This window comes from Homo sapiens, chromosome 9 (genome assembly GCF_000001405.40).
Source record: "Homo sapiens chromosome 9, GRCh38.p14 Primary Assembly".
In the NCBI taxonomy this organism is placed as follows: Eukaryota; Metazoa; Chordata; class Mammalia; order Primates; family Hominidae; genus Homo; species Homo sapiens.
Genome location: NC_000009.12, coordinates 4344374 through 4358409, shown reverse-complemented (window position 1 = coordinate 4358409; position 14036 = coordinate 4344374). Strand labels below are relative to the sequence as shown.

The window sequence follows — 14036 nt, the reverse complement described above, 5'->3', positions numbered from 1 at the left end:
GTTTGTGAAGGTACTTGGGACATTGCTTGGTACCTGATAATTATTGAATAAATTTATCAACTTTGTATTAGTCTCTTTTTTTTGTAAATTACAAAAGTGATACTAGGCCATGGTTAAAAAAAATCGAGCATTAAAACGAGTATACAAAAAAAAGCAGAATTCCTTGTTACTCTGGCGACCAGTCTCACTTTCTAGCAGCAACTAGTATTTACAGTTTATGCAGCCTTCTGGAAATTTTCTTTGCATATATACACACATACACATATATACATATGGATATGTACATACACACATATACATACACACAAATGGGAACATACTGTACACACTGTTCTGCCCTTGTCCTTGCTTTTCTCATCTTGGGCATCTGTTCTTATTAGATCATACAGACCTATCTTATTTTTTAAAAAACAAAGGCATAATATCCATAATATCCTATAATGTAGATGTAATATAACTTGTTTAATGACCCTCTAATGGTGGAAATTTGCGTTGTTCGTTTGCCATTTCAAACAATTTAACAGCAAACATCTTTGTCCACTTCAGAGGCACCATTGACACAGATTCAATGGGAATGGTGCCTCCTGACACTATGCAATGTGGTGGCCCTGATCCCTGTATTCAGTTCTTTGACCATGTCCAGGTATTTCTGTAGGATAAATTCCTAGAAGGCCACTAGTTTGATCAAAGGCTTATGCTCAATGTAAATTTTGATACCTAATCCCCAAAAAGTTGAAAGTTGAATGATGTTCACGTGAGTCAATGAGTCATTTGAGGAGTTTTCTAGAGAAACAGACCCAATAGAAGACACATACACATGCACACACACACACACACACACACACACAGGAATTAGTTCACATTATTCTGGAGGCTGAAAAGTCCCGAGATCTACAGTCAGCAAGCTGGAAACCCAGGAGAGTTTATGGGATAAAGTCTGAGTCTGGAGGCCTGAGAAGCAGGAGAGCGATAGTGTAAAATCTAGTCCAAACTGAAGGCAAGAGAAGACTGATTTCCCAGCTTGAAAACAGTCAGAGAGGGGATTCTTCCTTACTCAGGCTGTGGTTCTATTAAAGCTTCCAGGGGATTGGATGAGGCCCACCCACACTTGGGAGGGGCAATCTGCTTTATTCAATCTACTGATTCAAATGTTAATTTCATCCAGAAACACCTTCACAGACACAACCAGAATAAAGTTTAACCAAACTTCTGGGCACCTTGTAACCCAGTCAAGTTGATACAAAATTAAAGATCACAGGGTTATTCCCCAAAGATTTTAAATAAGAACAAATTCCACTCATTTTTAAATGCAACTTGAAACTAAAATAGAACTTTTGTTTCAGTTCTGTTTGTATAAGTAAACTCACTAATATTCAATGATTTATACATGCTAGATTTCAATTTTAGATTTCTAGTCTTTGGAAACAGTAAGATTTCGTACCAGTCAATATATTCCACCTTTTGAAACACTTATTAAAATATTTTGAAAATGCCAATTCCAGCTCCTGGTATAATGCTCTTGCCTGAAAGTCCAATTTAACCTTTTTACATGTGTAATCTTGCAAACATTGGTGGGCATTTTACATCCAAAAGGCTTTGTAATCAAACCTTTAGAGATTTTCTTACTGATGTTTTTCAGCTTTTGGTTCATCAGCAAATTCCAAATTCATTGTTGATGATCTTTGTTGCTCTAATAGTCATGCGATTTCATTTATAAATGAAACAAGCAGTCTTTGATCACATACTCTTTGTAAAATCTGATGCACTCTGTTGAATCTGCTGTGTTCCCTTTGTATTTTAAAAGCAATAGCTGCAATAGAGACAGCTTGACCCTACCGTGAGAAATAGCATTTTATCATGAAACTTGGCAAAGCCTTCAATTTCCTCCCATCTAATATCTGTCAGTCATTCCCATTGTCCAGGAAACATTTTCTCTGCTCTCCATGTGAAAGTTGTTATCTCTGGTGGCAGATACAACTTTTCTGAGGCCAGATCATTCTCATACCAGGGCTCAATCATATTGCTTTGTCGGATCCCTGTGGAAAACCAATCATGCTCTTTAAAGTGTAGCTGGAGAGTTAGTGATGCAAAAGAAAGACACTGGATCACTTGCACATACCAGTCCCCAGTCCTCCTAAATTGTGGGCCAGTCTCTCCGGCTCTGCTGCTGAACTCAGTGTGAATACAATAGCGACTGAAATGAAAGAAAGAGGTCCTGTTTACCAAATCATATTGTTGAGGTGGAAGGAACTTTGTCTAATTATAACCCATCATTACAAGGAAAAGAAAGGTAAAGCAAAGAGAGTCGACTTGGATTGACTTGGCCAAGACCACTCAGCTCATTAGTGTTAGAGCTGGGGCTGGAAAATATATTTTTTGACTAACTAATTTTACTGATGTATAATTTTTGTACCATAGAACACACAGAACTGAAGTGCCCAGTTGATACATTTTGATAAATATGTATGTCTATGTAACCATACCAAACGCATGCTAATCAAGATATAGAACATTTCATTGCCCCCAGGACTTTCCCACATGCCCCTTTCTAGTTAGAAAGCAGGTATTTGATTCCTGATCCAGTGTTTTGCCACCACTGACTCTTTCATCATTGTATAGGTGCAATGCTCAGTTGGTGAAAAGGGTCTATGGCTGGAAACAGGGTGTATAGGCTCTCATTCCAGCTGCTGCTCAATTAACTATATGACATTAGCCAAGAGGTTTGCTGAGTTAGTGTCCCTAGCTGTTAAAAGATGGGGTATGATTAAGAAGCCAGATTCCAAAGGTGATAAAGCTTGTCTTTGACTCCTCCTTCCCCTCTTTTCTGAGATCCTTCTTACAGTTCCTGGGCTATGAGGTGTCACTAGGAGAGTAGCACCCATTTCATTCTTTACCTGATTTTGAGCTAGCTATGTACTGTGTCAAAGGAAACTTGTCTATTTCGTGCCAAGTTATTGTTCCTAGAAGTGCTTGTATTTAATAATCATAGTGATACCTATAGTTTATTGGGCACCTACAAGATATCAGCCATGTGCTTACCCCTCTATATGCATTGCCTAAATGAGCCCTGCCTTACAGGAGCCCTGTAAGTTTACACAAAGCCAACCTGAGGCTCAAGGAGGTTAAGTTGCTTGCAGATAGTCACACAGCCGCCAAGTGGCAGAGTTTGCTTTGGGACCCAGATGTGCCCAACTCCAAATCCAGGACACTTTCCAACTCTACTACTTTGACTCAGGGAACTCTCTCTCTTTTTTCTTTTTCTTTTTCTTTTTTTTTTCGAGATGGAGTCTCGCTCTGTCGCCCAGGCTAAGAGTGCAGTGGTGTGATCTCGGCTCACTGCAACCTCCGCCTCCCGGGTTCAAGCCTCCAGGGTTCAAGCAATTCTCCCACTTCAGCCTCCCGAGTACCTGGGACTACAGGCACCCGCCACCACGCCTGGGTAATTTTTGGTATTTTTAGTAGAGATGGGGTTTCGCCGTGTTAGCCAGGATGGTCTCGATCTCCTGACCTAGTGATCCGCCCACCTCGGCCTCCCAAAGTGTTGGGATTACAGGCATGAGCCACCATGTCCGGCTACTCAGGGAACTCTTAAAGGTGACAGTAGCTTATTCCAAAGGAATGACTCTTTGAGGGTGGAATTTGGGGTAGCATGTTTTCCTAGAGGGAGAGTGTCATCTGATCAAGGAGCTCAGGGACACTTATGCATCACTCCAGTGCTGCCAATGGGGTTATTCTCCTGATCCCAGGACCGCAGTGAGAGGCTCGAGAAAGCCCCTTGAATAGTGCACTGTTCCATGTGAGTGCGGCTGTGCTAAACTGTGCCTGGGACAATCCCGTGCACTGAGGTTTTGACCTGAATAAGATGGGTCACGTGGATTCTGGAGGGTAAGCAGTTATTATTGTAGGGAATATAGTCTATAGAAAGTGAGATCCTGGGATGTAGTGTATAATTCTTGGTTAAATATAGCAAAAGAAAAGAAATAATCACCCACTCACTCAAGGAGGTGACTCTGGCTAGGGACCCCATGCCTGCTAACAGGGTGCTTATACCCTCATCCATATGGCATGAAGAGAGGTGTCCTGTTTCAAGAGTGCGAACTAAATCTCATTCAAACACACAAAAAGGTCTCAGGAAGTTTGGCTGGAGAAAGTACTCAGTTTCAGATGGGGAGTCTAATTTCATGTGCCTTTGCCTGCCATTGTCTGATTTGCAAGTTTAGCATAACACTCTTTTTTAAAAAGCCCTCTTGGCTATCAAGAATTTTCCTGCAGTTGGCCGGGCGTGGTGGCTCACGCCTGTAATCCCAGCGCTTTGGGAGGCTGAGGCAGGCGGATCACGAGGTCAGGAGATAGAGACCATCCTGGCTAACACGGTGAGACCCTGTCTCTACTAAAAATACAAAAAAAAAAAAAAAATAGCCGGGTGTGGCGGCGTGCTCCTGTAGTCCCAGCTGCTGGGTAGGCTGAGGCAGGAGAATGGCGTGAACCTGGGAGACTGAGCTTGCAGTGAGCCGAGGTCGCGCCACTGCACTCCATCCTGGGCGACAGATTTCCTGCAGTTCTTCAGAGGAGACTGTGGGAAACAAAAGCAAATCAACAGCTACAGGCACCGAATTAAGTTCAACACATATAATTCAGAACATACATCTTTGTGCAGCGGATAAGGAGGCCCCCAGAAAAACGACGGAGGACTATTCTGCTGTGTGGTTTAGGGGAGGGATCTGGCTCTATCTCGAGATGATCTTAGACTCTAGCTTACTCCAGATTACGGCCCGTTTTGGGTAACTTCTTGACTTTGGACCCGCTGAGAGATACTCTTCAGTAAGGAATCAGAGTACAGTCCTTAGTTTTGCTGTCAACACACAAGTACACATGCCAGTGCCCAGAGGCAGTTCTGGAAATGCCTTACTCATTTCTTGGCTGGGCTGAGTCCAGAGACAATCCCTGGCCCTGAACTTTGGAATCCTGAGGCTCAATGGACTTGAGTAGTTTTGCTGCTCGTTAACTCCCACACCTCCTTCTCATAGTTTAAAGAAAGCTGCCTGAAATCAGAGGACCGAGACTTCACAAAATCAGATCATATAGCAAGCAATTTCATGCACAAAAAAGACAGTGGAGTCTTTGAGGAGTTGCTGGGCTACAGACATCTGTACCCAGCCTGTGGTTTTGCCTGGCTGGTAGGGTACAGAAGTCTGCTTACTTTTGCCTCAAGTTTTAGCCTTTAATGGCACAGGGATGTCAAGAGAGGGAACTTCTCAGAGTCTCAGAGCAACAGAAATTTCGGTCAAGTTGTATTGTTCACCCAGGAATCCAAAGACACGGCTGAGTCTTGAGAGGTGGCCACCATACCCCAGGCTGAAAAAACTTTCCAGAGAGCTGACTGATCTCCTAACCAAACCAATGAGCCAAAAAACCACTGAGGTCTGGAACCCTGAAGGAGCGAGAGGACCCTATATCTTAGCCTGACAAGTGGCTACTTACACCTACTAAATGTATAGAAAACTGGATTTTTTCCATGCACCACAGGATATGGTTTTCTTTTAAAGTTCACAAATTCTCTTCATGGTTTACCTAACTATGAAGATTCATTTTTGGCCAACATCCAAGAAAGTTTATTTATGACCAATTCTGTATTTTGATCTCTCCATCCAAGTATTGTTGCCAAGAGCCAGCAGCACAAAGGCACAAGGGCCAGCTGAACTGCCCATGGCCACACATAGCCCTTCAGGCCTGCGATGGTCTTGATCATCTCCCCACTAACCAGGTCTGTGCCCACAAAAGCTGGTGATGGCCAAAGGAAGAAACCTCCCTCTACAGAAGTAGCCTAACCCAAGACAGAGTTCACTTAAACGGCCATCTCTAAAGAGCATGGTTGTTTGGTTTCCATTCTGTGCTCTCTGATCCTGGGAATCAGGGAAGGCCCTTGGGTTTACCCAAAAGATGCCCCACCATGCCTTAGTCCTCTGTATTTCTATGTCCCCATACCCTCACAGGCCAAAAGGACCCAAGGTGAATTGTGAGCTATTTTAATTTGGAGATAAATGACCAAGGGACTCTACACAAAGGGCTCAGTGTAATTTTAGTAGTCATAGGCCAACCTCAGGTGGCTCCCTTGTTCCTGAGCCATATTCCTGCATGACTTTGAGAAAATCACTTAGCCTCCCCAAAGAGAACACAACTGGGTGTCGCCTGAGTTTTACTGATGTTGGCAGAGTTTAATACAATGACTGTATTTTTTTATGTAAAGGAGACAAAGCATGGATTGAGACAAGCTTCCTCTATAATAACAGAAATCTACTTTTCCATCGTAGTTGTGAGTCTGTCTTCACGAACACTGTAGCTTGTACTTACGCTGAAGTTTACTTCATGAAAAGAAAGAGATTTTAGAAAATTGATCTTGCTTATTTACTTTTTAACCAAGAGCAGCTATTAACCCTCTAGGAGTTACATCAAACTCTTTAGATCCAAAATGTAACTCAAATACAGGCACTACTAGTTTTATATTTTTCTCCAGATTCAGAATCCTGTGTGCATTTTTTTTTTAAGAAAACTGTGCATTCATTTTCTCTGAAAATGACTTCTTTGTGCTCCAGTTTTCTAGCTTAAAGATAAAATTGGATTCTTTGAAGAGGCTTAGAAACTAATTTTAAAAATCTAAGGCCCATCAGTAAGTGACAGAGAGTCCTTTGGGTATCATTTGTGCTCCCTAGTTCAAGGAAAAACAACATTTTTTTAAAAAAATGAAATCTTTCCTTATCATTTGATGTTCATCATTACCGAACTACATACTTTTTTCTCTTTTTGCCCATGAAAATTTCACTAAATCTGAACAATTAAATGGAAAATTCCTTTTCAACTACTGTGATAAATTGAGTAATAAAGAACTCTTAGAGAAAGATATTTTTGTGTTTTTCAGTGTATATTCTAAACTTTTGTAATGAACTCAAGCACTAAATATTTTATGAGATATGTAAAAGATTTCTCCTCACCCTCCCTTTTTTTTTTTTTTTTTTGAGACACTCTGTTGCCCATGCTTGAGTGCAGTGGTGCGATTACAGTTCACTGAAGCTTCAACCTCCCAGGTTCAAGTGATCCTCCTTCCTCAGCCTCCCAGCTTATTGGGACTATAACCACACCCAGTTAATTGTTTGTTTGTTTGTTTCTTTTGAGACAGAGTCTCACTCTGTCTCCCAGGCTGGAGTGCAGTGGCCTGATCTTGGCTCACTGCAACCTCCACCTCCTGTGTTCAAGCAATTCTCCAGCTCCCTGTAAGTGTAGAGAGGCTATCCCAACCAGCCTTAAGGTCTAAGAAACAGGCCAGAATCAGAAAGAAATGGATTATTATACAGAGAAGTGAAGCCCAGGGCCCAGCACTTCAAGGCCTTGTATATAGATAGGACAAGCTTCATGGCGGTGTGACCTACACAGACACACAGGGCCCCAGGCTTAGAAGAGCCACAAATGGTTTATTGATCAAAGAGCCCTTGTTCATTTTGAACTGGGCCCCAAAATTACGTAGCTGGTTCTGGTACTAGTGGTACTAGGGAAAGTCCTGAGGAGACAGAAACTGGAAGAAAACAAAAACAAACAAAAACAAAAACAAAACAAAACAAAACAAACCCTGATGTTTTTTACCCCAAGGCATTTTGGGTAGAAGAGACATAGAGGCAGCAGAGACACATCAATCCCAACTCTTCCTTGGTCCAGAATGAAGGAGGATATTACTTGATTTGAGAGAAATACCAAAGGTGGGGTCTTTTTGTCCAATTTAACATTTTGGATTCTGGAAGAAGAGTTCAGTCTTCCTTATCCCCACCCCAAAATAGAGATAATAAAGCAGTTCTGAAAGAGACTTTAAAATAAAAATATTTTTAAAAATTTCAGAGAGATATAGTACGGCAGGATTATAAATTTACACTGTGCACAGGTGAATAGTGAAAATGCAGTTTAAAGAAATTTTCTATTACTTGATTCCATTTGTGTCAATTGTTTCTATCCATATAGAGATGGGAGGAAAAAATATAAATTTTAAGTCAAATCCAGTAAATGTGGCCCAGTGCAATAACTGAAATAGTCTCTTTAAGTTAATTTTCAGTCTTTTGATTTAAACGTGCCCAGTTCCTCACATTTCCGCCTATTCCCTCTTTGCTCTCCAAGGTGCTGGTGAATAGGTGCCTTGCGGGTATAGCAAACATGGCCATGCGGTGGTGGAGGAAGGGAGTCTCCCATCGCCACTGGGCCTTGTGATAGCTCTCGGTCTTCTCTGACCTCTGCGGTGATGGAACTCCTATGCCTGATCCCTTCTCACTATGCTGCTATCAGCTGTCTCTGAGCTGGTGTAACTTGCAATCTGACTCTCTCAGTTTGGTCAAAGTCAGTTTTGCCCCACTGCTCTTGGTCCGTCTAAGTCTCTTTCACATTCCTGAAGCCAGCTGGCCTGGGCTGCCCACCCACAGCCTCTGCAGCAGATTATCTCACTCTTGCCAGGACAGGCCCCACAGAAGATTCATCGATTTCTAGTTCAACTGGCTTCCAGATAAACTGAAGGCTAATGACCAATTCAGGACACCCTGAAGGCTTCATGACTTCATTTCTTCTTGCCACCATGAATTTAGGTTTCTTCTTCATTTCTGGTACCCGGATATTTTTCCTTTTTGCTGTCAAGCCCTGCTTAAAGTATTTTTTTTTCTGTCTTTTATTCATCATTTCTGTGTGCTTAGAGTGATGCTCTGTGTGTCCTCTTGTCTGGAAGTCCTGGAATCTTATTTTTGCTAGTAATTTGCAAGGTAAGTACTTCAGTTCCTTCCCTAAGTAAATGCAATCTAAATTAACAAAGTTTTGTTAGGTATTTTTTTCCTTTTTGGTCATCTAGCATACAGGGATTTTTTTCTGTGCAATGACCATTTCCATTCTCTTTTTCTACTCATCAATATAAATCCTCAACACCAATTAGACTCTACGAGAGGGTATTGTATGCAATGTGCATGCCAGGATACAAATAAAATAATTCCAGTTAATTATTAAGTAAATATAGGAACATTTACTATTATAAAGCATTTAGAAGAGTCAAATGCCTGGCTTTTATGGGTCATATAATCTACTTGGAGAAATATGGTTGCATAAAATATTTAAATAACATTAGTCTGCAGTTCTGCAAGTGTGCATACCAGTGCCACTGACAACACCTATCATAAACTGTTGTGGAAAGGAGAGATTGCTATCAACTGGGGTGTTCAGTGAAGCCCTCATGGCAAAGGCTTATTTTAAGTTGAAAGTTGAGGGATCAACTGATGTTTAGTAAGCTTAGATAAGGAGTAGTGTTGCATTCTCCTATTTTTATGTTGCATTCTCCTATTATTTTATTATTATTGAGTTTCATGAATGTTTTCCTCCTTCAGCTTCTTTTCTAATTAGAAATAATGTTTACTGGATGTTTGCTGAGTACAAATGTAATATATGTTTCCTATGGAAAAAATGAAAAACTATAAAGAAGAAGAAAGCACCATCCATAATTTTACTCTACAAAGCCAATAGACATAATTTTGATTTTATAATTTCCGTATTTTCTATGCACATTTATGTTGAATAAAAGTTGGAATCATATTGAGCTTATATCTTTTTAATCTGTTTTTTTTTCACTTAGGAGCATTTTCCTTTTTGAATAAGATTCCTCTAAAACATAACTTTTAATGACCGCATATTTACCATATTTGTTTAACAATACCATATTGTGAGTCACTGGGAGAAAGTCAGGTAGTTGAGTCCTCAAATTTCGTTCCCACCTTCTTTCATAATAAGATAACCCATATTTAAATGGGACTATATTATGTCCAATTAAAGGTCACATCTCCCAGCCTCCTTGGAGTAGGTGTGGCCATTGACCGAGTTCTGGCCAATGAGATATAAGTAGAATAGTTATTATCAATTTGAAGAAAAACTTCTTAAAGGGGGCTGACTCATTTGAGAGCAGCATTCTTTTGCTTTTGCCTCCTATCAGCTTCCCACTGCATGGGATGTGGAGGTGATGGCTGGAGTTCCAACAGGCACTTGGATCGTGAGATAACCTCAGAAAGCTGTTTCCCGAGGGTGCTGAACTGGCAGGAAAGAAACCTTGGTCCTCGATGATATTGTGAAGACACCATATTAGCATGGATGGCCTATTTCTGAATTTCTTTCAGGTAAGAAAGAAATATATTTCAGCTTTATTTAAATGTTCTCTTACATGCAGACAAACCTAATTCTAACACAGATACTTAGGCTGATTCTGATTTTTGCTGTTATAAGTTATGCTGTAATTAACATACTTATTCAAAGATCTCTGTGCATTTTAGAAATTTGATAATGTATTTCTAGAAGTTGAATCATAAGTTAAAAGTTTTATGAACATTTTAAATTGGTTTTTGGCATATCCTGTCTAATTTGGGAAGGGATTTTTAATGAGGGTACTCCTGGGCAATGAACAAATGAGGTAAGAATACACATATCCTAAATGTGTGGCTAAAACTCCACTCTATTGTTCCCTTTACTAGAATGGCTAATGAGCCACAGTCAAAAGGCTAAAAAAATTACCCAGTAAAATAGTTGTGTTCAAGCCTGTCAGGTAGTTATTCTTAAGATTTTCATCTGAATTAAATTGTAAAGCGATAGACTCCCCCAACCCCCACCAAAAAAAAACCTCAAAAAAACCAAACCAAAAACAAACAAACAAAAAGCTACCATGTGAGGTTTATTACTTTCCCTGATTTTAGTTCACTCTGGATTATTTGAAAGATGACTATTATTAGTGAGTTATGTGAGTCAATAATTCTCAAACTTCAGCACACATATAAAACTTCACTTAAAGCTCATCAGAAAATGTAGATTCCTGAGCTCCACTTCCAGGTCTTCTGATTCACTTGATCTGGAGTGGGTGTAGGAATCTGCATTTTAACAGTCATACCACTGAGAGTAGCCCTGATCCAGATACTTTAAAGATTTTTTCAGGTTGCTATAGTTTGGATGTTTGTCCTCCTAAACTTCATGTTGAAATGTGATCCCATATGTTGGAGGTGGAGCCTAATGAGAGGTGTTTAGGTCATGAGGGCAGATCCCTCATGAGTAGATTAATGCCCTCCCCGAGGAGGGGTAGTGAGTGAGTTCTTGCTCTATTAGTTCCCATGAGAGCTGGTTGTTAAGAAGAGTCTGACACTTCCTCTGTCTCTTTCTTGTCATGTGATCTCTGCACAGGCCTGCTTCTCTTTACCTTCTGCCATGAGTGGAAGTGGCCTGAGGCCCTCACCTGAAGCCAAGCAGATGACAGCACCAGGCTTCTTGTATAGCCTGCAGAACCGTGAGTCAAATAAACCTCTTTTCCTTATAAATTACCTAGCCTTAGATATTTCTTTATAGCAATACAAAATGGACTAAGACACAGCTATTGCCTGAAATTCCATCCATTATTTTTTTTTTTTTTTTTTTTGAGACGGAGTCTCGCTCTGTCGCCCAGGCTGGAGTGCAGTGGCGCGATCTCGGCTCACTGCAAGCTCCGCCTCCCGGGTTCACGCCATTCTCCTGCCTCAGCCTCCCAAGTAGCTGGGACTACAGGCGCCCGCCACTACGCCCGGCTAATTTTTTGTATTTTTAGTAGAGACGGGGTTTCACCGTTTTAGCCGGGATGGTCTCGATCTCCTGACCTCGTGATCCACCCGCCTCGGCCTCCCAAAGTGCTGGGATTACAGGCGTGAGCCACCGCGCCCGGCTCCATCCATTATTAAATCTTGTTGCCACTGCTTGTTAGTCCTACTAGAGAAGCTGACCAAGGATGGCCATAAAGGTGCAACTGAGACTGGCAATTCTGCTCTTTTTCTATCAGTTGATTGACATTTTGTGGCTCTGGATGTAAAGTAATGGCCACACTTATGAATAATGGATATAATACTTTAGAAATTATTTAATGTATTTTTTATTCTTCCTAAATCAAGATGCCATATGGCTCTTCATCCTTTTAATCAATGAGTTTTAATGCTTCAGGGCAGGGCAGTCACTGGCTAGAACACCAAAGTCATCGCTCTGCTTTGACTGTCAAATGAAGCTTTGTATGTATTGTATCCCCAGGGAGAAAGTGCTGTTGAAAGCTAGGCTGCATCAAGAGAGAAAGGAATTTCTAAATTTACAAAGCTCCCTTTATGTATCATTTATTTCTAATCTTATTGGATTCCTATTAGAGAATGAGGTCTGTAAAACCTCTAGTTTTCATATTTTCTTGAGGTTTCCTTTACAGGCAAGTACATAATCGATTTTTGTAATATGTCTTTCTTTCAATGGATGTCAAATTCTTTAGCTATTAAAACAAGTGAATTGATCATAATTTTAGTTCTTCTGTGTCTGTATTTATTTTTTGTCTCCTAGATCTCACTGATTTGAAAAAAGTGTATTAGAATCTCCCACTCGAACTGTATTTTATTTGTTCTTTTTGAATATTGAATATTCTTTTTGAATTTAATTTCATTTTTATCAAAGCAATATTCTTTTGCAGTCAAATTGTGCTCTGATGCTTAAAACAACAAGAAAAAAAGACGTGTCATTCCCTGCCTTACTCCCCACTTCCCCAAATTCTCACTCCCCAGACGCAATCACTTTCAGCTCTTTTTGCTTTATCTTCTTGTGGTTACCTACATATTTCAAAATTCCATGTAACTTTGGCTTTTAAATTTTAAATGTTACCTATTAACATTCTACTCTGGAAAATGAGTTTGGAGGGAAAAGAAGATAAATTTCTGTATCCAATCTGCTACATTTAAAGTTTTTAAGGATGGGGGAAAGAGGAACAAGAGCAACTGGTAAGATACATGGAACCTGTTTCTTCCTCTGCAGGCCAAAATCCCAGTTGGGGGTTTGATAAGTATTCTAAATTATGATACATTTAAAAATACTTATTGAGCACCTACCATTCTAGTAAAAATGACCTCATGAACTTGCATTCTAATGGGAGAGCCAGACAATAAACAGATATGGAAAATATATGTCAATTGTCATAAAAAAGAAAATGCTATGAAGAAAATAAACAAAATAAAGTAGATAGGATAGGGAGGAGGGATTAAGTGGGGTCATTATAGAAGGCCTGACTGAGAAGGTGGCATTTGAGCAAAAATGCCTGACGTAGGTGAGAAAACTGGCTAAGTGTGTTCTGAGAAGAGCAGAATGAAGGAAGGGCAAAGGTAGGAAACGAGGTCACAGAGGTAACGCAGGGGCCCAGTGGCAGGAAAGGATGAGTCAGATTGTGTAGGATCTTGTAAGCACTCAGGCTTTTGCTCTGAGGGGGAAACTTGCGGAGACTTGAATAGAGGAGTGATCTGATTTAAGTTTAAAGGAATCATTTTCGTGGTTGTACTAACAATAGACTGAAGAGGGACATAAGGTGTGGAAGCTGGAGACCAGCCAGGTAACTAATGCCATAATTCACATGAGAGATAAGTACAACTTGGAATGGAGTGCAGTGGTGAAGATGGTGAGAAGTGTGAAATCTGGATATATTTTGAAGGTAGAGCCAGTAAGATTCGCTGATGGGTGAGCCTTGGCAATCTGAAAGGAAGAGAGCAGACAAGGAATTTTGGCCTTAGGAAATGAAAGGATAGAAGTGCTACTTCCTGCAGTGGGGAAGATTGTGGTAAGGGACCTATTTTAGGAGGAGAAAATTCAGCTGTGGATATGTCATGTTTCTGGGATGCCTCTTGGTCATCCAAGTGAAACAGTGAACTAGACAGTTAGATATTTAATTCTAAAATTCACTGGAAAGTTTAGACTGAAAATGAAATTTGGGAGTTATTAGCATAGATGATATTTAAAGCCAGAAGACTGGATGAGAACACCCAGGGAGTGAGCGAGTGTGAAAGAGAAGAAAACAGGCCTAAAGACTGAGCTCTGGGTTACTTTACACTTAGAGGTGAGAGGAGGAGGCAGAGAAGACGTGATAACGAAGTCAGAAGAAAACCAGGATTTCCAGGAGGCCAAGTAGAGAATATTTCAAGGAGAAAACACAACTTTGCCAAATGCTGCTG

The 14036-nt window shown here is 40.5% G+C and overlaps 1 protein-coding gene across 1 annotated transcript in view; it reads left to right on the top strand.

The window, feature by feature from the left end:
- The window catches only part of GLIS3 (GLIS family zinc finger 3), a 666339-nt gene that overhangs the window by 132056 nt on the left and 520247 nt on the right, over positions 1 to 14036 (top strand). Inside the window, exons 2-3 of the mRNA XM_047422890.1 lie at positions 9998 to 10178; positions 11227 to 11329. Coding sequence (XP_047278846.1) covers positions 10149 to 10178; positions 11227 to 11329 — 133 coding nt within the window. The 5' untranslated portion in view covers positions 9998 to 10148. The remainder of the gene's footprint in view (positions 1 to 9997; positions 10179 to 11226; positions 11330 to 14036) is intronic.